We start from the raw sequence: 24,373 nt of genomic DNA on the forward strand, positions 1-24,373 counted from the left end.
ACAATTAAAGAAGGCATAATTACCGAGATTTCAGAAATACAAAAAACCATTAGAGGCTATTGTGAACAAGTATACACTAACAAACTGGAAAACCTAAAATAAATGGATACATTCCTAGATACATAAAACCTACCAGGATTGAACCATGAAAAAATGGAAAATCTCAACAAGCCAAAAACGAGCAATAGATTAAGACTATAATAAAGAGTCTCAAAAAAAAAAAAAAAAAGAAAGCTCAGAACTTGATGGTTTTATTGCCGAATTCTACCAACCATATGAAGATAAACTAATACCAATCCTACTCAAACTCTTCAAATAAATTGAAGAGAAGGGAATAACTTTCAGCCTCATTCTGTGAGTCCAGAATTACCATGATACCAACACCAGAAAGGGACATACAACAAACAAGAAAACTACAGGCCAATATCACTAATACGGTTTGGCTCTGTGTCCCCAACCAATCTCATCTCAAATTGTAATCCCCATGTGCTTAGGGAAGGGTCTGATGGGAGTTGATTGGATCATGAGGGGCAGATTTTTTTCCATGCCGTTCTTGTGATAATGAGTTCTCATGAGTTTTGATGGTTTAAAAGTGTGGCACTTCCTCCCGAGTGCTCTCTTTCTTCTGCCACCATATAAGATGTGCCTTGCTTCCCCTCCTGCCATAATTGTAAGTTTCCAGAGGCTCTCCAGACATGGGGAACTGTGAGTTAATTAAACTTTCTTTTCTTTATAAAGTACCCAATATCAGGTATTCTTTATAGCAGTGTGAAAACGGACTGATGCAATCACTGATGAACATAGATGTAAAATACTAGCAAACTGAATTCAAAGACGCATTAAAAAGATAATACACCATGATCAAGTGGGATTCCTCCCAGGGATGCAGAAATGTTTTAACATATGCAAATCGATAAACATAATACATGATATTAACAGAATCAAGAACAAAACTACATAATTATTTCAATAGTTGCCAAAAAAGCATTTGATACAATTCAACATCCCTTTATATGACAAAAACCCTCACCAAAATAGTTACGGATTGAAAATACCTCAAAATAATAAATATCATATATGACAAAGACACTACTAGCATCATAATGAATGGGGCAAAATTGAAGGTCTTTCCTCTAAGGACTGAAACAAAGCAAGGATGCCTACTTTTACCACTTTCATTTAATATAGTACTGGAAGCTCTGGCCGGTGCAATTAGGTATGAGAAAGAAATAAAAGGCATCCAAATTGGAAAGGAAAAATTCAAATTATCTCTGTTTTCAGGTGACATGATCTTATACTTGCAGAAACCTAAAGACTCCACTAAAAATTTTTAGAAATGATGAACAAATTCAGTAAAGTTGCAAGATAAAAAAAATCAACTTACAAAAATCAGTAGCATTTACATATGGCAACTACAAACAATGTGAAAAGAAATCAAGAGAGTAATCCCATTTACAATAGCTACAAAAAATCAAATACTTCAAATAAACCTAACAAAAAAATGAATGATCTATACAAAGAAAGCTATAAAATGCTGATGAAAGAAATTAAAAATCACAAAAAGAAATTTCATGCTCATAGAATGTAACAAAGTTAATATTGTTAAAATGACAAAACTACCCAAAACAATGTATAGATTTAATACATTACCTATCAAAATAATAATATTCTTCACAGAAATTATTAATAAAGTTCTAAAATTTATCTGGAATTACCAAAACTCCAGATAGCCAAAATATCTTTGAGAAAAAGGAACAAAGCTGGAAGCATCAAAGCAACTAACATCAAAATTTACTACAAGTCTGTAGAAATTGAAACAGCATGGTACTGTCATCAAACAGACACATTGACCAATGGGACAGAATAGAGAACTCAAATAAAAATCTATGCATTTACAGCCAACTCTTCTTGGACAAAGACACCAAGAACATATAATAGGGATAATTAAGTCCCTTCAATAAATGGTGCAGGGAAAACTAGATAACTATGTGCAAAAGAATAAAACTAGACCACTGTTCCTCATTATACACAAAAATGAAATCAAAATGGATTAAAGCCTTGAATCTAAGACCTTAAACTATGAAACTACTAGAAGAAAACACAGGGGAAGTGCCGCAGGTTGTTGGCCTGGGAAAAATTTTTTGTGTGTAAGACTTCAAAAGCACAGTCAATCAAAGGAAAAAAAAAAAAAAAAAAAAAAAAAAGGATACTAAAAAGCTTACACACAGAAAAGGAAACAACCAAGAAAGTGAAGGGACAACCTACAAAGCGAAAGAAAATATTTGCAAAGTATCTATCTGATGAGGGCTTAGTAACCAGAATATATAAAGAGCTCAAACAATTCAACAGCAAAAAAACAAAAGCAAAAGCACTCAAATAATCCAACTTAAAAATGGGCTAAATTTCTGAATAGACTTTTTTTCAAAAGAAGACATACTAATACCTAATATAAGTATATGAAAAAACACTCAACATCACTAATCATCAGAGAAATTTAAATCAGAACCACAATGTGATATGATGTTGCCTGTCTTAAAATGTACCATATCAAAAACACAGACAATAACTGATGTAGGTTAGGATATGGAGAAAGGGAAACCATCTTACATTATTGGTGCGAATGTATTTTAGTACCACCATTATGGAGAACAATATAGATGTTCTTCAAAAAACTGAAAATAGAACTACCATATAATCCAGCAATTCCACTAGTGAGTATATAGTCAAAAGAAAAGAAATCAGTATATTAAAGAGATAGCTGCACTCCCATGTTTATTGCAGCACTATTCACAATAGCCAAGATAGGGAATCAACCAAAGTGTCCATCAATGGATGAATGGATAAAGAAAATGTAGTACATAAAGACAATGGAATATTATTTAGCCATGAAAAAATAAAATTCTATGATTTGCAACAAAATGGATGAAATTGAAGGCCACTATGCTATGTTAAGAGAAGTAAGCTAAGCATAGAAAGACAAATATTGTGTACTATCACTCATATGTCAGATCTAAAAAAGTGGACCTCATGAAGCTAGAGAGTAGAATGATGGTTACGAGTCTAAGAAGGCTAAGGAGAAAGGGAAATTGAGGGAAAAAAGAATATAAATGTATTTGTTACCACTGAAGTATACACATGAAGTGGTAAAGATGGAAAATTTTATATTATATGCATATCTTACTTCAATCAATGAATACAATTAAAAATATATACACTTTAAATAAATAAAAATAACTGTAAAAATGTTTACATAAATAAATAATAAATAGAGCACATGAATATTAGAAATATTGAAATTTGCCCTTGAACCAAAGAGGCTAAATCTGAAAATTAAAAGTAAACAAAGAAATAACTATTTTTGAAACTAAAAAATTCCATCACACACAGACATATGCACAAAATAATTTTAATATTTTTGTTAAAAATAATTAAAAGATAAAATTTAAGATTTAAAAACATTACAATTTAAAATCACTAGCTACATAGCCATGTATTAAGGCTAAATCTTCACTCAGAAAAAAATATATAGCCATAATATCTAAAATTTCTAAATACACCAAAATGGGAAAACATATATGAAATTTTTTCCAAAATAGTTAAAAATTATAAACAATTACATCATAAAGAATAATCTATGGATGAATAAAAATAAAATTAGAAATGAATGAAATGTTAAAAGTCCATTACTAAGTAAATGCTCAATAACTAAACTGCTAAATAAATGCCAAAATCTAACCATCTGAAAACCTAAATTTTTGTCTCCTCCACAAAAAAATGCAGTAATACAAAATGAAGTGAAATAAAAACACAAATAGAATTAATTATAAATGAAATTAAATTAATTATAATTGAAAGCAAAGAAAAATCAGAAACACCTAGAAAAAAGTAAAATAAATGAGCCGCTTACACACTTTAAAAATAGTGTTCATAAAACAAATGAAATTAATGTTTTCAAATAAAAATATATAGTATCAAAATATACTGAAAGGCAATAAGAAAGCTATGTATATTGATTAAAGACACTGAAAATATCCTGAGGAGTTTTATTATATTCACTTTTACCACCTACCATTTCAGGCAATAAGATATTTTTGCATTACCTTTTCCAAAGCCATGGTTCTGTTACTAAAAGTGTGACAAAAACAAACAAACAACAACAAATAAAACAAAAACCAAGAAAGTGCTGATAAGTGTTACAAAATTATATTAATGAAGAAATCATTTTAAAATATTTTCACAATGACACTCTTATAGACTCAACACTAGTACATAATTCTCAGGTTGTCTTCACTTTGATTATGACATATTGTCATTAGTAATTGTGGTGATATAATGCACCATAGCATTCATTTAAAAGAAAAATGTATAGTTGTCTTATTAGTTGTACATATATTTTTGATAAAGTATGTTGATCAAATTCAAACTAAGACTAAAATACTCAAACAAAAATTACATACTTTTAGTAAACGAGAGATGGACTTATAATTAATTGCTCTCTGGATTGCAACTGCCATGCAAAAATGTTACTTTTTGTATCTCCTCACATCTCTAAGACTGCCCTGGGATCAGCCCCAGCTACATTGCACAACTTCCTGTGAGCTCAATCATTTTGACACTACTTTACTTCTACTTCTTACCATCAATTTCTTGCTTTTTTTTTTTTTTTAATCTCACAGTCTTTTCCAAAGTCTAGGGAGCCTACTTGATCAACACTGAAGCATAAGAAAGTTAAGTTTTCCAGGGAAATCCTCAACTAACAGAGGATAGGAGCCAGTGGATGTAGGTCCAGGACTTGTCCTAAGGATGGGCAATTTTTAAGGTCATTCTTTATGCTTCCATAGTTTTACAAGAATTGAGCTATTCTTTCCAAAGCCAAAAAAAAAAAAAATCCCCAAGATACAACCTAATATTAGCTTTGTATTATGCCTTTTCTCAGTCTTTCTATTTCCTCATTCCTATATGGATCACCTTCCAAATTCAAACAAATAGGTGATGTGGGACTGAGATATGCACCCAAGTCATTGTCTCATAAATTACTGTCGGGAACCCAAGCTAAAATAAGTGGCAATAAACTAGTTTTAGGAAAGAGACCATCATTATGGAATTCTGGAACTGGACCTTACTGGCTAGATGACAACAGGTTCCTATTATTGTTAATAAGTGAGTAGTGACGCCTCTTCTGTTATGCTATTATTTCAACATTACAAAGACTTTAAATTTTAGTCCATCGAATCACATATGGAAGAAAAGTTTTGGGTTGTCCAGAAACTCTAACAGTTTAACAATTTTAGAGCAATGGGAATTATAAATATTGTAGAATTAGATAATTTTTGTCAACTTACCTTAAAAGCCTTGAAAAAAGCAAGTGGCAGATTCATGTCAGCCAACTATTATCTCAAAGTTGCCAGTGAAATCCAGAATCCCTCCATGACAGTTTACAGAGTCCCTCGTCTTTTACAATCACAAGGCAGATTATTAAAAACCAGACACACAACTTAATTTTAAGGCCTGCAGAGTTGCCAAAGGAAGTGTATGCCAAGCTCAACGTGACTCCTATGTTAAAATCAGGGGCCTCCTAGGCAGGAGTAGTTCCCTTAGACATCTAATGGGGATGTTCTGAAGGGGTCACAAAAACCCCCTAATTCTAAAGTTCTCCTAAAACATCCAGATCAACAAAAGCAAACAAACAAAATCCTCTTCTTATAGGAGAACAGTAGCCACTCATTGTCTGGAGACATTAGAAATGCTAATCTGGGCAGAAGTTCCTGAAGATGATGCTTGTCCTCCTCTTACCCTGTTCCTATCTCTCTTAAGACTTCCAGACCAATCACTAGAGTCAGATTACTCCCTGAAGATTTGTAAGTCCTGGCAAACACATATTAGCAGAAGAGGGAAAGTGTGTGGGAGCGAATTTTGAGAATTTTTGACCAGAAGTGGGAGTTGTGGCTGAGATAATCATTTTCCTGTGAATCCAAACTTAAGGTTCAGACAAGAACACCAGGAGAGGAATTTTTTAAATGTTGCTGCTGAGATGGCTTTTAGTAGATGAGTTGGAGATGCTGTCCTCATTTCACAAAGGCTATTAGCATGCACTATCGATTAGGACATCCAACGTCTCAGTGACTGTTGTCATGATTTGGCCAGAGTTGTTAGTAGGAAAAGGTGCCATGAAACTAGTCTGCCAAATGCTAATGAGACAATATTATTCTCAAATATCTCAGATTAGGTGGTGACATCTATTCATTAGAAATAATGTGGGTATGGTAACTGAATTTAGCAGCAATGCCAGAGGGACAAGCAGGATGTCTTTTATGTGAGAGTCTCTTATGATATATAACAGACTGTGATTTTCCTAGGGGTGAAATGGATAGGCAATCAGGGTGTTTCTGGTTTTGCAATTAGAATAAATCCTGAACTAGCAAGCAGAAGACTGGCATTAGCTACTGTGATGAAAACCCACAATTTCTCACCCACCTACCCAGTCTGAGCTGGTTCTCAGAACCAGAGCCCATCTGTTGAAGTGGAGTCATAACAAACTTGAGGAAGGACTCTACAATGACAGTATAAGTATCAATAACAAATATTAAGAACCTACAGCCATGTACCATAGTGAATGTATACAAAGAAAAGAACACTATCCAGAACTTTTAAGAGCTGTTGGACTTGAAGTCTGAGGTTATATTGATACAAGCATACCAAAATTCCCTCTTCAATTAGATTGAGTGCTCATGAAGAACAAGTACTTAACAGACACATGATTGAAATCAGATTCCAGTCCACAGTTATCTCCCCAGATGCTGAGTGCACAGTTGAGATGGATAGACTTAGTTACTCAAAGAACCTGCACATTGGTTACCTGATTTCTGTAGTAATATGTAATCATAGGATTCATTATGTATTGCACGTTAAGTATGATCAAATATAAATCCTTGAAGCTTCCCCAACACTTTCCTAGCCAGGGCAATAAATCAGAAACAATATTTAATATCAGAATTAAATTACAGAGATTCATACTACCTTCAAACAATTAAAGAATTGGTGGTGGTAGTTATTCTCTTTATTCCCCTGTTTAATTTAACTGTAAGGGTCGCTGCAAAAAAATAAAGAGCTGGTAGATGACAGTGGACTGCTGTAAACTTAACCAAGGGTGAATCTAATTTACTCTTATACTAGATTTGGGATTTTTATTGGAACAGATCAATTTTAGTACTTTATATGTGGCAATAGTCTGGAAAATATGTTCTTTTGTCCTTCTTGATCTTAGTAGATTTTTAAAAACATTTTATGTGTATGTGGAAAGACAGTATTAGCAGGAGCACAGGAAAAGTGTGCAAACACACATCTTCTCCTAGGTCTTAGGTATATGTCAATTCCTCTGCACTCCAACAGAGTATAGTCCACAAAGGACTTGATCAACTTTCCATTCTGGGAAATGCTATGATAATCCAATAAATTGATGGCATTGTGCTAACTGAACCTAGTGAATAGAAAGTGGCAAGTGCCCTGAATGTCTTAGCAAGCTACAACAATAACATAGATGAGAGCAAAACTTCAGGGTCCAACAGTCTCTGGCATTCTGGGGCATCCATTCTAAGGTAAAGTTTATATTATACACTTTGCATAACCTACTACTAGGAAATAGATACAAGATTTTGTAAATATATTTAGCTGTTGGAAACAGCATCTGTAGCTTTTGGGAATGTTGCTTAAACTTTTATATTAGGGCCAGGCGTGGTGGCTCACGCCTGTAATCCCAGCACTTTGGGAGGCCAAGGCGGGAGAATCACGAGGTCAGGAGATCGAGACCATCCTGGCTAACATGGTGAAATCCCGTCTCTACTAAAAAATACAAAAAATTAGACGGGTGTGGTGGCAGCTGCCTGTAGTCCCAGCTACTTGAGAGGTTGAGGCAGGAGACTGGCGTGAACCCGGGAGGCGGAGCTTGCAGTGAGCCGAGATTGTGCCACTGCACTCCAGCCTGGGCGACAGAGCAAGACTCTGTCAAAAAAAACAAAACAAAAAAACAAAAAAAGCAAAACAAAACAAAATAATAACTTCTATATTAGATTACTTGGAAGAAAATATTTTTTAAGTGGGTCATTTGGAAGAAGAGGGCTTTGCAGCAGGTTTAGGTTACAGTGAAAATGGCCCTTCCCCTTAGGATATAGTATGGTGCTAGAGGTACACATGGTGGCCAAGACCCTGTGAGAAACCCCCTGTAGAAGAGTTGCAGCAGAAACCACTGGGGTTCATTATCAAGGCCATGTTCTCTGCAGCAGATAATGCCTTGCTATTTGAAATGCTGCTTCTGATGTGCTACAAGACCTTAGAAGAGACTGAGTGCTGGATCTTAGAATATCAAGAGATTATGAGACAAAGGCTTCCATCATGCACCAAGAATCAGTCTATCCCATAATAAAATAATGCATTTTGGATCTTCTCAAAGTATATCCAGAGGCACTCATGATCTAGACCCTCATGTCACCAGCCATTGTTTCTTTGTAATCCCTTCCTCTGATCACACCATGACCTCATGGAGAATTCATTTTGATCAACTAATGAAGAAGGAAAAGTTTTGTACCTGGTTTGTGGATGGATTAATTGAATATAATAGTGCTAGATGATAAATGGACCATTAGCACACACAATCATAATGAGAATTAGCCTTAAAGGACTTTGGTGAAAGGGTAATCCTCCTCGTGGGCCAAGCTATGAGCATCACATTTGGATTTCCATTTATGTGGTAGAAAATCTATTGGAATTACAATGTGTTTAAATGCTTGGATATAGGTGAATGGCTGACCTGATTGCACATAGACCTGGATGGAGTAAGACAGAAAGATCAGATGTACAAAGAAGGGACATGTGGATGGACCTAGAAAAATAGAAATAAATTATGCACATCTTTGGTTTTCTTTTGCTTCAATGCTTGCCTGAGATCATGCATAACATTGTCCACTGGACAACTGAAGCTATGTGCCCAACCTGTAAGCAGTAGAGACTGGGATTAAGCCTTTGATAACGTTCCATTCATTACATTAGAGCAAGCAACCACTTAGAATAAGTCAGTTACTGGACATTTTCAATTCTAGAAGTGGGTCATAATTCATCTTTGCTGAACAAACTCTTATTTTAAAATGTATTTATATTTTTTGTTCACAATGCCTTGGCTAATACTATGATTTGGGGGCCTACAGAAAGCCTAATTACTGAAAGCATAAGTTAATTATGTAATGTCCTGCATAATATCACTTGAGGCCAAGTAATGCATTTTTATGGTAGAAGAGGTAAAACAATAAGCATAGAATGATGGGGGTCTTCAGTTCCAACCATATATTATATTTATCAGCAACACCCAGCCTAATAAGATAATGAAATGGTATACTAAAGTTTCAGCAGGGATGTCAGCTCAGGGAAGGTACACTGCAGTGGGTGCCAGTCTCTAGGATGCAAAATATACTGTATACAAGGGTAGTTAGTTTGAGAAACCAAAAAAGTAAAAGTAGGAATGACCAATTTTTGTATTAGTTTTCTTATGCCAGTAGACCTGAATAAGATGAATGAATTACTACATTGGAAGACAAAATTATGCATCATTATTTTGAAATACTAAGATGAACAATTTTCTCTAATTATAATTCTATAGAATCAAGGCAGGTCATTATCTCTAGATCTCAGGGGATCGACTGATGTGTCCCTGGCAGTGAGATTGAATAAGCAATTATTGCATCAAAAATAGACTAGGACTAAGCAAACATGCTTGGTTTATTTCACAAGAGGGAAAATCTAGAATAGCTGCTACAGTGGCCAAGTTCGTGGAAGAGATGGAAACACAGTAAAGAAAAGGAGATGAACAGGATATCAATTTCTGCCTTTGGGCCACTTATAACAGCAGATACTGTGGTTTATTTCTTTAACATTTTGATATTTTCAGAGCTTAGATCTAGCCACCAGTTTCAAAATATGTGACAGAGAAGAATTTACTGTGTAATAGCATAATCAAATGAATTTACTGTGTAATAGCGTAATCAACCTCCGAGAGCCCTCACACTTGATACTCAATATTACATCACATTGGCCCTTTTCAATTTCAGCCACAATGGAAGTGGATAGCTACTGGGGAACTCAAACTCCTGTTATTATCTAAAGACCAAAACAAATGTTTCCCTGCTTTTTGTACTCAGGACCTTTCCCAAAGCTGAGAATAGTCTGCATAAATACAGTCTATAAATATAGTAAAGTTAATGACCCCAAAGGTAACCCTCAAATAATGAAAGATGGAAGTCAGTGGATAAAAACTCCAGCCTCCGCCTTTGGATTCCTAGCAGAATTATGCTCTCATTGCCTACAACCAGTGACCTGGATTACATAGCCTTATATCAGTTTTTCATTCTTACTTATCTAATGCTCTTCTCTGTCACTCCTCCTTCAGAGTATTTACTAAATTATCTGCAACTAAGTTCTTGTCTCAGGTTCTGCTTTTAAAGAAATATAAACTAAGATATCTGTGTTGTATACTGAAAATCTTTTCTAAACCAAGAAGAGTAACTAACATGTAGCAGCTTTCATGCAAATTTTATTGAACAAATAAGCTATATTATTTAATACCAAAGCTAGAATTGTACATAATGGCCAAACACTAAAAGGGTTTCAATTTATTTCACAAATATCTTAAAGGATTAATTACATTAGTAAAAGACAGAATTTTTTATTTAATTTTGGAAAGTCTGTCAAATATCAAAGATTTAAAACACTTGACGTCACAGGTCATTGTAAAATAAGTTATTCATTTGACCAAATAAATAACTCAAGGATTTTTTCAAAAAGGCAAAAACTTTCTTTCTTTGAGAGAGTAGACTTAATTTTCTAAATAATGAAACCTAATAAAAACAGCATGAAGCCAATTAAATTTGTTTTTTGAAATTTTATAAACAATCTGTAAGATTTTAATCTCGACCATAGGGTATAACCTCCATAAACCTTTTATAACCTTTATAATCTTTATTAAAAAGTCAGTGTTTTGGTTTTTTTTAGTTATACTTTAAGTTCTGAGGTACATGTGGAGAACAAGCAGGTTTGTTACATAGGTATACATGTGCCATGGTGGTTTCCTGTACCCATCAACCCGTCATCTACATCAGGTATTTCTCCTAATGCTATCCCTCCCCCAGAACCACACCCCCCCAACGGGCCCTGGTGTGTGATGTTCCCCTCCCTGTGTCCATGTCTTCTCATTGTTCAGCTCACACTTACGAGTGAGAATATGTGATGTTTGGTTTTCTGTTATTGTGTTAATTTGCTGAGAATGATGGTTTCCTTGCAAAGCACATTGACTCATCCTTTCTATGGCTGCATAGTATTCCATGGTGTATATGTGCCACATTTTCTTTATCCAGTCTATCATTGATGGGCATTTGGATTGGTTCCAAGTCTTTGCTATTGTGAACAGTGCCACAATAAATATACGTGTGCATGTGCCATTATAGTAGAATAAACGGTGTTGGGAAAATTGGCTAGCCATATGCAGAAAACTGAAACTGGATCCCTTCCTTACACCTTATACAAAAAGTAACTCAAGATGGATTAAAGACTTAAATGTAATACCTAAAACCATAAAAACCCTAGAAGAAAACCTAGGCAATACCATTCGGGACATAAACATGGGCAAAGACTTCATGACTAAAACACCAGAAGCAATGGCAACAAAAGCAAAAATTGACAAATGGGATCTAATTAAACTAAAGAGCTTCTGCACAGCAAAAGACACTATCATCAGCATGAACAGGCAACCTACAGAATGGAAGAAAATTTTTGCAATCTATCCATCTGACAAAGGGCTAATAGTTACAGTTTGAAGAAAACCTTGTTAATTTGAGATAAGAGTCCATATGCTCGTCTTGCATCAGTGTCCTTTGACATTAATGACTACTTTATACAGAAACTGAACTTATTTTAATCTCAAGATCAGCCCTTAAAATCTCACATGCCCACTTTTTCTGTGAGAGTCCCTGGATCTTGAGTTGTTGAATTGCTTTATTTTTGGCCCTGCGTCTCAAGAATGCAGTTTATTTTGATAGGCATCTTCTACTGGGTCTGAAGATGAGGCTTTAACTGCTCTCAGTATTTACAGTTTAGCAGGACTTGGAGTCCTTTTTAGACCCAGGAGTCAAAGCCCTGTAACTCAATGTCACAAAAACTTTAAAAGCACATGTAGAAAGACACACAGATTTAATAACCTTAATTAAAGATAAAAATTTTATCAAAGTTTTTTTTCCTAAGCAAACCAAAACTTTATAATGGCATAGGAATTGCTTTTGATAAAATGAAATATCTTTTAGGCCAGTTACTGAAAGGCAGAAATAAAAACCATGTGCACTGAACAGAATATTATGTTGAAGAAAACATTTCCTTTGGGCATTTAAGAAAGCATTGTTAGCATCAGACCACAACAAACAGAAATTGAGGAAAAAAGACTTATACGAGCTGAAAATGAGTTGAAGGAGAACATTATCATTTTGCGCCTTTTAAAAGGGGAGAAAAACCTGAAAGTGGCAAGATGCAATAAAAGTTAAACTTGGGTAAAAAAAATTAAAATCTCCTATGATTTATTAAGAGTAAATCAATTCCTTAAGAAAATTTCACTGTTGGTTTCTTTTTTTTTTAATAAATCCTCTTATTGTGACTTATGACTTATAAAGACCCTTCATGACATGCTTGAAATTTTTATTTGTCCTGAACATAACCTCTTGTTTAAACAACCATTTTATTCTAGGAATAAATCTACCATATAATATTGTTTCTCATATAAAATTATTTCTCTTTAACCTTTCTTACCAAAAAAATCACTATTTTTATAATTTTCTTTACATCTCTCTTATTTTCTGGTTTCTTTTACCTAGTTTTTACCTAGCTTTAAATAAGCTTTGAAATAGAAAAAAATGGTTCATCTTTTAAAAAAAGACATGTTTTTTAGAAATAATGTTTTCTAAATATATATTTATAGATATATTTTTATAATATATAAAATAATTTGGATATTTATAATATATAATATATTTTTATAGTATATAGGGTATTATTTTATTGGAAAATATCCATATAATGAAATACCTATTATTAAATTTAATACAACTTTAGATTCTAAATTATGACATTTTCTACATGTATTTATCCTGTTACGTTTACCTAATTATTTTATTTTAATCATTTACCTACATAATTTGTGAAAACTGTGATACTCATTATTTAAAGTTATAGAACTGCCATTGTGAAATTTTAACTGAGACAGTGAAAAAGATATGACCTAACTGACTCCATCTTGCTTCTAACCTCAAGGCTGTTCTTGTTCATTCCTGGGCCTAGGCTGATCTAACTTTGGGAGGAAATTAATTTATACTTTAGCTTTGAAACAAAGACACTAACAGTTCCTTCTCAAAACAAACCTTACAGCCTGTGGACTAGATTGCCTAAAGCCACAAGATTAGAAGTTATGGTAATCTTACTAAATTCAAGATGTAGCTATTGTTATAAAACCAATGTTATTGTTAATAAATCAATGTCTTATTTATTAAAGATTACACAAGCAAAGATCATTCTGCTTTGGGCTGGGATTATACTTTTGCAAACCCTATGCCAAATTTTGACACATTATATTATTTGGCAAGAATAAGTATTAAATTGCTTGATTAAATGTAAACAACAATGTCTGCTGGCAATTTTTAAGAGATTTCTAACATTACTTAACCAATAATTTTAAATCTAGATTATTTATTAAAGATTTTGCTTAAGTTATGTTAACTTGAAAAAGCAGTTGAGTAGTCTTTTCCCTTTTCCTGATAAAGTATTTGATTCAAGTGCTTTTATTTTCTTAAGCCAATTAATTAGAGTTCCTTTTTTCCAGTAGTGAAATGTTGTGTAAACAACACATAAATACATAAATGTATTAGGCATGCTGATAGAAATACATCTTATAGATTCATGATAAACTTTTTTTTGTTAAACTTTCAGTCTTGATAACCTGTTTTACTACCATAGGTAGTTGTTAGCTAAATAGCCTTAAATTTGCATATTAAAGAAAATAACTCAGGTGAAAATCCAAGAGCAAAATTTACATCATAAGATACAGTGAGAAAAATTCTGATATGCTAGAGGGAAATTAAAATGGGTTTAATTGCCAATTGAACATAAAATTACAGAAATTATGAACACATACACACACACACACACACACACACACACACACACACACAGATCCTAAATCTTTTACTCCATAACTTTAGCCATGAGATAAATACAAATTCACTGGCTTGCAAGAATAACCTTTTGAATCCAAATAGTGGTTTTTATCTTAATAGAAAACAGCAGATTTAAAGCAGGCAGAAAAGAAAAATAGAGAAAAAGAGAACTTAGGAAGTCTGTAGTTTGCAGGTCGACCTCAGGGCTCTTTTACTTTAATGTAAGTGTACTCAAAGACCATATTACTTTCATTTTACATAAACCCTGGCAAGTGGAAGTGCCATAAAACCTATGGAGTGCTTGAAAGGGGGTCATTCTCCTTGTTTTCTCCTCATTCTTAGATTGTTTTCCACTCTTTTTCTTAAAAGGAGGAACTGAGCTGTGGCCTAGCGTTTTTGTGTGGTGGATCAATGTGTGCTGCTTGTGGGCAGGACTCCACAGTGTATCAACACTGAGTCATTTCCACACTCTTATGTGTCTCAGTTTCTCTCTCCAGAGGTCTGTGACCTCAGAGAAGACTCAAAATGGCAGGTGATCAGCCCTTATATGCATTTCCTGGACAAGTGGGGGGTTTTGTTATTGTTATTTTGAATTAATTTTTGTTGGGGATTTCCCTGCGGGGCTGCTGCACGCTGTGGGGGTTCAAAACCCCAGAGACTCCCACGAGGCCCCCAGTCACCCAGGGGTGCCTTTTGGTGGGAGGAACAAATGCCCTTTCTCTTTGGAGCTGAGAAAACTCAATCTCTCATTTAGCTTTGAAAACAGCAGTTCAGCTCCTCACACCAATGCACATAGACAAGCCGAATTGAGAGTAATTTGGGAGAAAAAGCGTTAGAGAAGTCTCCTTAGAATGTATCTCCAGACTAGAATTAGAATCCTTAGACAACAACTTCCTGGGAGAGAGAAAAAGACAACAGCCAAGACCACTTTATTTAAACTCCTGCTCAGCCACCCCTACTTTGTAGCTCTCATCTGCCATTACACATGCCAAGGTCAAATCCTCTCACAGTACAAGGTAATCTCTGTGATCCCCAAAGCCAAAGAGGCCAAGTCATGCAATACAGGAAAACAGAGCTTTAGACCTAAGAAGAAGCTGCCCATGACTCTTGAAACTCCACCAAGAAAACAGAATACCCCAAAACAGGTGAATTCTTTAAAGTGGTTCAAGTCATTATATGACTCCTTTAGATTTTTTGGTACTACAGATGGCAAAGGGGGCAGGAGGTACAGGGTGGAAGAAAAGTAAATGAAAGAACTTTTGTTTTTTAAAAAAACAAGACGAAAACTCGTAAACTAAGTGCATGTTTTTCCTCCTTTGCAGTTGCGAGGAATTTTGTCCAAATTAGAGAGGCTTTGTTACCCAGAACTTGGAATTCTCACACAGATTTGACCAAGTCAGGTAAAATTGGTCAAATCTGATGGGTGAAAATCCAGAACAAACAACAACAATAAAAACCCCACAATATGATCACTGGGTGCTCTAATGGTAAGTAGAAATTAAGACCAGCTGGTTATTAAACTTTAGCCAAGACAAAACCCCAATTCAGGTACTTACCTAGGGATGGGTCTCAGGCTGAAGACTGCTTTCTACCATTCTAGAAGCAGGGAAAAAAAAAAAGAGAGATCTCAAACTCATCTTCCCTGCTGAAAGGGAGCTCAAACTCCATAAAGAAGTTACCTGCCTTTCATTGTGATGGATACAGGAAGTCTCTCCTTCCTTGTTGGGAGCAAGTAAAACTCCAAAAAAGAAGGGAGGTGTACAGCAAAATAAACTTTAGATCTTGACCAAATTTTTGGAGATCAGAGATTCTCTGGAGGGGATGCTCACAGACCTCTGCAAATTCTCCCACTGGTTTGAGCCATACCAGTGAGAGGAGGTACCAGCTGGGCTTCCTGGGTCGAGTAGGGGCTCAGAAAGCTGTGAAACTTACTCATTTCCTGCATCAGGACTTACTTCAGTCCTGGATGAATAATATTGAAGATATATGCTTAAAATATTCCTAACACCAGGACTTGTGCATGTGTTTTCTTCCTCAAGAAAGCTATAAACAGCTAAAAGCTTGCTATAAGTTTCCCTGTGTTCTCTCTCCCTTCCCCATCCCCTAAAACTAAAGGAAAAGAAATGTTAACTTCCCCTTTTTCTGTGACCAGCAGACCTTATCTATACTCCCCATTCCAATTCCTTGTAAACATACTTTGTAAAGTCCTGTAAGATCCTGTCTCCTTTGCCATGCTGCTACAACGTCATAAAGTAGATAAAACCTAAGTTGCAATTCTGGTTTTCCTCAAAATCTTAGACATGTCACAAAATAATTTACTGCCTTTGTTTCTCACTCTGGTAACATCTTCCTGCTGCACATATTTCCCTCCTTGAAGAGTTTAAAAGGCAATCACCCAAAACCAACACTGGCTACCCATTCAGGACCCCTTCCACGCTGTGGAAGCTTTGTACTTTCACTCTGCCTAATAAAGCCTACAGCTTTTTTCTATCATTCCGTGTCTCTATCACTCGCCGCAGACAGCTGCCACATCAATTCTTTGGCATGGCTTGGCAAGAACCTTAGGCGTTACACTGGTACCAAGCACTGATAGGAGATTTGTCAAAGGTCTGGGGCATCTCCACTCAGAATTCCTCTGGGGTTACCAAAATGTGAACCCCCAAAATCTGAGACAGGTCTCGGTTAATTTAGAAAGTTTATTTCGCCAATGTCCCAGACATGCGCCCATGACACAACCTCAGAAGGTCCTGATGCCATGTGCCCAAGGTGACCAGAGCACAGCTTGGTTTTACACATTTTAGGGAGACATGAGACATCAATTAATATGTGTAAGATGTACATTGGTTCAGTCTGGAAAGGTGGAACAACTTGAGGCAAAGGCGGGAAAACTGGAAGCTGAGAGGGAGCTTCCATGTCACAGGTAGATAAGAGACAAATGGTTGCGTTCTTTTGAGTTTCTGATTAGCCTCTCTAAATGAGGCAAACAGATATGCATTCATCTCTGTGAGCAGAGGGGTGACTTTGAATAGAATGGGAGGCAGATTTGCCTTAAGCAGTTTCCAGCTTGACTTTTCCCTTTAGCTTAGTGATCTTGGGGCCCCAAGATTTATTTCCTTTTCTCAATATACACTATATATACTTTTATCTATATTGCATTCATCATTGAACAATATATTTTGGAGTTAACTACTTAGTAAATTATGGAGTTTATTCCATTTTCCAGCAGTACAGCATACTTCTTGATTTTTCATTGTTTACTCAGTTTCCTAAGCAACATAATTCATCCAACCAGTCAACCTAAACAGCATTTAGGTTGTTTCTGGTCTTTTGCTATTTTAAATAATGCTGAAATCAATGTTCATAAGTCATTTTCTATTTTTTGTCAATTTAAATTTGAATAGATTCCCAGTATTCTGAAATAAGTTTGCTGGTTCAAAGGATAAAGGAATGTACAATTTTGATGAACATTGCCAAATCTCCCCTAAAGAGTGATATGCCAGTTTGCATTTCCATAGTGATATATAAATGTCCTTGTGATCTACAGCTTCGAACTTTAGATTTGTAAAAGCTTGAGAGATAATGAATGATATTTAAATGAAGTTTTATTTGCTTTTCTCTTATTATTATTGAAGTTGAACATATTATCATATGTGTAACAGCCACTGACATTTCTTTTTCTGGCATTCAATATTCATACTATTTGCTCTTTTATTATGATACATTGTTGATTTTTTCCTGATTAATTTTAGAAGCCCTTTATAAATTTAACAGTCATTTTGTTTCAAAGAAGTTGCAATTTTATTTTTCAGTTTGTCATTTGTCATTCTTATCTATGATGTTTTTGAGATGAAATGTTTATTATAATCAAATTTATATTTTCCATTACTGTGCTGAATTTTGAATACTTATTAAATTTTACTACTTGTGCATTTCTAAGAATTCACTCATTATTTACTAATTTTTATAGAAACTTCATAACCGAAATTTTATACATTTATTTATCTGCTTACAATATATGCTGATGTAGAGATGAGACATGGATCCAGTTTTTCCTTCTAGAACCACCTAGTTATCAAAACATCAATTATCTTTTCCTCACTGATTTGAGATGCCTTGTTAGTGTACACTGAATTTCCAAATATAATTTGGCTAATTCTGGGTTTTCTATCTTATTTCATTGGTATGCCTGTCAGTTCTGATGTTGATACTAAACTACTTTAACTACACAGACTTTATATTATATTTAAAAGCTTGGTATGGTTTGCTTCCCCACATTGCTTTTCTGAATTTCCTAACTACTCTTTTAAACAATCCTTCTGAATAAAATTTATAATTAGCTTCCTCAGCCCTTAAAATCAAAGTGAAAATACTTACTAGAACTGAATAACTCATCAGTTAACTCAGAGGGAATTTCTATCTTTTTAATATTAAAACTTCCTATATAGAAACACGGTATCTTTATTTATTTTTTATTTATTTATTTATTTTTTTTTTGAGACAGAGCCTGGCTCTGTCAGCCAGGCTGCAGTGCACTGGTGCGATCTCTGCTCACTGCAATCTCCGCCTCGTGGGTTCAAGTGATTCTCCTGCCTCGGCCTCCCTAGTAGCTGGGACTACAAGCGCATGCCACCATACCCAACTAATTTTTGTATTTTTAGTAGAGATGGGGTTTTGCCATGCTGGCCAGGCTGGTCTCAAACTCCTGACCTCAGGTGATCCACTCTCCTTGGCCTCCAAAGTGCTGAGATTACAGGCGTGAGCCACTGTGCCCTCCTGGTATCACTTTTTTTTTTTATGAAGTTACTGAATTTTCAGTAGCATCCATGATTTTCTTATTAAAACATATTTTAAAATAAATTCAGAGATATTATTAAAAAGGAAAAGAAGGACTAGAAGGAAAACTGGAGAAAATGCATTTAACTAGAGTAAAAATACCAAGATGGGGAGATCTCAAAGGAATGTTCAAATACAGGGCCAAAATAAGATTGTACATATACTAAGTTCACAAAAGCACGAACAGGATAAACCCATGATTTTAAAAAATAGGAATAAAACAGAATACCCACATATGTAACTGGGATATTTCAGATCACCAGAGATCGTTTTTTAATCCTTTAGGGAATTTGGTGCTTGTTGGTATTATAAATTTGATAACAAAATATAAGCTTACTGAATAAGAATCATTTTAATTGTATTAATATCATGTTAATAATCATGTTAATCGTTTTGATTAGCAATTGTGTTAATGCAAAATTAATATTATTTTAGGAAAAATTAATCATATATACTTCTTATTTCTAGTTACACAAAGAACTGGTCCTCAGGACAAAAGGGTGTCTAAGTTCAACACAAGAGTTCAACAAGAATCATAAAATGATGGCTGCATAGCAAGCATAAAAAGCAGATTCATATGGAAGAATCAGTAGAATTTTTTACAGTTTGGATGCTCTTAGGCATCTTAATGATTATTTAACGATTAGAAAAAGGGGCAAAGAGAAGAAATCATGGATAGGGAAGTGGGAAACAGCATTAAGCTATTTTGAGCAATTGATGAAGTGTGAGAAAATATAATCTGTTAGATCTCAATGCTTAAGACATTCTCTGAGTGATATTGATAAAAGGCTTTTGTGATAGATAGATAGATTGAACTGGCCTGATTGTGCAGAATGTAAACATAATATTAAAATTAATATTAATATTTAAAATATTAAAAGTTAAAAATAATATTAAAATCTTTCAAACTGATTTTCTATTCTCAGGATAAAAATAATAACAAAATATATAAAAATATATAAAGTAATGTAACTATTATATATGTTTAATTATAAATATAATAATATGGCTGACATATTTGCAAGTGGGAGATAGAAAATAATGGGGAACATAAGGCTTCCACTACCTTACTGAACAGCAATCAAAGAGTAAGTTTTAAATTTTGTAGATAATAAAGCAGATATTTTGTTTTAAAAGTAAACAGCTTATTAATAATCTTTGTGATCAAATAAAAGTCAAGGGGTGAATTAAAATTAAAGGCATACCATAAAATTTGCGAAGGGAAGGTGGAAGAAGATGGTTTCTCAGTATAGTTCTTTGTCTTTTATTGAGGGAAGACATTAAATATCATTTCATATTTTAGGAAGAAATCATGGTACAATAATATATTTGAGAATTCTATAACAAAAAATCATAATATAGCCATGTGTTGCTTAATGACGGGAATATGTTCTGATAGATGTCTTCTTTGGCGATTTTGTCACTGTAGAGTAAAATTACACAAACTAGATAGGAGAGCCTGTTACACACCTAAGCTATACAGCATAGCCTATTGCTCCTAAGCTACAAATTTGTACAGCAGACTACAGTATTAAATACTGTAGGCAATTATAATACAATTGTGAGTATTTGTGCATCTAAAAATATCTAAATCTAGAAAAGGTACAGTAAAAATATGGTATAAAAAATACAATACACCTGTATAGGATACTTACCAGGAATGAAGCTTGCAGGACTGGAGGTTGCTGTGGGTGAGACATTGAATGAGTGGTGAGTAAATATGAAGGCCCAGGCATTACTGTCTACTTTATAAATACTGTACATGGAGTCAACATTAAATTTATTTAGAAATTTTTCTTTCTTCAATAATAAATTAATCTTAGTTTACTATAACATTTTTTCTTTATAAATTTTTTATTTTTAATCTTTGACTTTTGTAATAACATCCTAAAACATACATTGTACAGCTTTACAAAAATATTTTTTTATATACTTATTATTTTTGTATTTGTAACATTTTTATATATTTTTAATATTTAAACTTTTTTGTTAAAAACTAAGATACAAAAATACACATTTACCTCAGCCTAATCAGGGTCAGGATTATCAATATTACTGTCTTCAACCTCCACATCTTGTTCCCTGGGAAAATATTCAAGGGCAATAACATGCATAAAGCTGTCATATTTTATGACAACAATGCCTTCTTCTGGAATATCTCCTGAAGGACCTGCCTGAGGCTGATTTACAGTTAATGTTTTTTATAAGCAGAAAAGTATAACTTTTCAAAGTTTTACTCTAAAATAATGATAGAAAGTATAGCATAATAAATATATAAACAAGTAACGGTCATTTGTTATCATTATCAAGTATTATGTAATGTACGCAATTACATATGCTATAATTTTATACAACTGGCAGTGCAGTAGGTTTGTTTACAGCAGCATCGTCACAAACATGTGAGTAATGCATTGAACTGATATGTCAGAATGGCTACAATGTCAGTAGATGATAAGAATTTTTCAGCTCCATTATTATCTTATGGGACCACTGTCCTATATGTGGTCTGTTGTTAATTGAAATGTTGTTATACAGCACGTGACTGCACCTAAAAAAATAAATGATGACCATGCCAGAGAGTGGCAAGTGTATTAGGAAGAAAAAAGTCGATATTTGTGTACAATAAACATATACAATTTTGATTTGTCAATTTAAAAATTCAATTAAAAAAGAACAGAGTTGATCAGGGATAAAAAGTTTAATTAAAAATGGGCAAAGGATGTGAACAGGCATTTCTTAAAAGAATACATACCAGTGGCCAACAAACATATGAAAAAATTACTTAACATCACTAATCAGCATAGAAATGCAGATCAAAACCACAATTTGATACCATCTTACACAAATCAGAATGGCAATTATTAAAAAGTCAAAAAACAACAAAAGTTGGTGAAACTGTAAAGAAAAAGGAATACTTGTAGACTGCTAGTGGAAATAAACTAGTTCATCAACTGTGGAAAGCAGTTTAGAGATTTCTCAAAGAATTTAAAACAGAACTACCATTGAACTCAGCAATCTCGCTACTGGGTATATACTCAAAGGAAAATAATTCATTCTATCAAAAAGACACATGCATCCTCATGTTCATTGCAGTGTTATTCACAATAGCAAATACATAATGTCAACCTAGGTACCCATGAACAGTGGATTGGACGAAAAAGAAATCTGGTACATGTACACCATGGAATACTATGCAGCCATTAAAAATAATGAAATCACATTTTTTGCAGCAACATGGATGAAGCTGGAGGACATTATCTTAAGCAAGCTACTTCAAGAACAGAAAGCCAAATACCATGTTCTTACTTATAAGTGCGAGCAAAATGATTAATACATATTAGTGTAAAGATGTGAAAAATAGAGACTGGGGACCACTAGATGAAGCAGGAGAAGGGGTAATTGGGCAGAAGAATCACCTGTTGAGAACTATGCCTAGTGCGTGTGTGACGGGATCAGTGGAACAAACCACAAGCCTCAGTGCCACACAATTTGTCTATGTAACAAACACATATGTGTACCCTTTAATCTATAATAAAAGTTGAAATTATATGTTTAAAAATATGTACAGAGTAGAATGGAGGTTACCAGAGGCTGGAGGGTAAAGAGATTTAGGAAAATCAAGGTATACAACATTTCAGTTAGATAGAAGGAATAAGCTCAGGAGATCCATTGTACCTCATGGTGATTATAGTAAATACCAACATATTGTATACTTGAATATTGCTAAGAGGGTAGATTTTTTAAGTGTTCTCACCAAAAAAATTTTAAGTATGCAAGGTAGTATGTTAATTAGTTTGATTTAGTTATTCCACAATGTATACAATTATCAAAGCATCATGTTATATACTAGAAATATAAATATATTTTTGTCAGTAACTAAATACATAGCAATGAGCATTTGAGGCAAATGGCATATTTAGTGGCATGCCAAATGAAAAGTAAAAGCAGTGTTGCTTATCTATATCTAGATATTTTAGGAATTTGTCCTTTACCTGTAAATTTAAAATTAGAAGATCTATAGGAAAATTCCATTTAATTTTTGGTATTGGTGATTTTAGCTGTCTATATTTTATTTATCAGTATTACCAGTAGTTTATTATCTTGTGAATCTCTTATGTTGTGTACAAATTTGCTTTGAAAATCCTTACATTTTAATGTAATAATTTTCATTCTTGTGCTGAGTCTAGAATCTTGATTTTTATATAGATCTGATTTTATGTCAAGTCTAAATATACACTCAGGACACCCATTGGATGTCATAGTGACTATAGTTAAAAACAACATATTGCATATGTATGTTTATTAATTGATTACTTAAATAATATTTAAATATTAATATATTTTATTTTATCATTTTAATCACTTTAATTATTGCTAACCTTCCAACTCCTAACTGAATCACATTAAATACATTATTGTTTTATCCACTAACTCCCATATTTACATCAACTGCAGGTCTGCTTGTTTTTTTTTTTTATTGTATTGTTCTTCCGTAATATAATTTCTGTCTCTTAGTTTGCCTAGTGTGTGTTTATTAATTGGATGTTAGAAAGTATATTTCTTCCCGTTTAATTTTAAATTTAATTTAATTTAATTTTAAGTCCACATGCAGGATGTGCAGGTTTGTGACGTAGGTAATCGTGTGACATGGTGATTTGCTGCATCTATCAACCCACCACTTACATATTAAGCCCAGCATGTATTAGCTATTTTTCCAGATGCTCTCCCTCCTCCTACCCGCTATAACAGGCCCCAGTGTGTGATGTTCCCCTCCCTGTGTCTGTGTGTTCACATGGTTCAGCTCCCACTTATAAGTGAGAACATGTTGTGTTTGGTTTTCTGTTCCTGTGTTAGTTTGCTGAGGATAATGGCTTCTAGCTCCATCCATGCCCCTGCAAAGGACATGATCTTGTTCCTTTTTATGGCTGCATGGTATTCCATGGTGCTCCAACAAACAAATGAAAAAAAGCTCAACATCACTGATCATTCGAGAAATGCAAATCAAAACCAAAATGAGACACCATCTCATGCCAGTCAGAAGGGTGATTATTAAAATGTCAATGAACAACAGATGCTGGCAAGGTTGCAGACAAATAGGAACGCTTTTACACTGTTGATGGGAGTGTAAATTAGTTCAACCATTGTGGATGACAGTGTGGTGATTTCTCAAATACCTAGAACCAGAAATACCATTTGACCCAGCAATCGCATTACTGAGTATATCCAAAGAAATATAAATCATTCTATCATAAATATAAATGCACGCCTGTGTTCATTGCAGTACTATTCACAACAGCAAAGACATG

At 34.1% G+C, this 24,373-nt stretch overlaps 1 long non-coding RNA gene across 1 annotated transcript in view; it reads right to left on the reverse strand.

The window, feature by feature from the left end:
- Nucleotides 1-24,373, reverse strand: part of LINC02228 (long intergenic non-protein coding RNA 2228) — a 64,352-nt gene that overhangs the window by 20,135 nt on the left and 19,844 nt on the right. The window contains exons 2-3 of the long non-coding RNA NR_147006.1: nucleotides 20,723-20,752; nucleotides 15,791-15,830 (exon numbers count right to left, since the gene is read on the reverse strand). This is a non-coding gene — a long non-coding RNA (long intergenic non-protein coding RNA 2228). The remainder of the gene's footprint in view (nucleotides 1-15,790; nucleotides 15,831-20,722; nucleotides 20,753-24,373) is intronic.

Source organism: Homo sapiens, chromosome 5 (assembly GCF_000001405.40).
Source record: "Homo sapiens chromosome 5, GRCh38.p14 Primary Assembly".
Taxonomy (NCBI): Eukaryota; Metazoa; Chordata; class Mammalia; order Primates; family Hominidae; genus Homo; species Homo sapiens.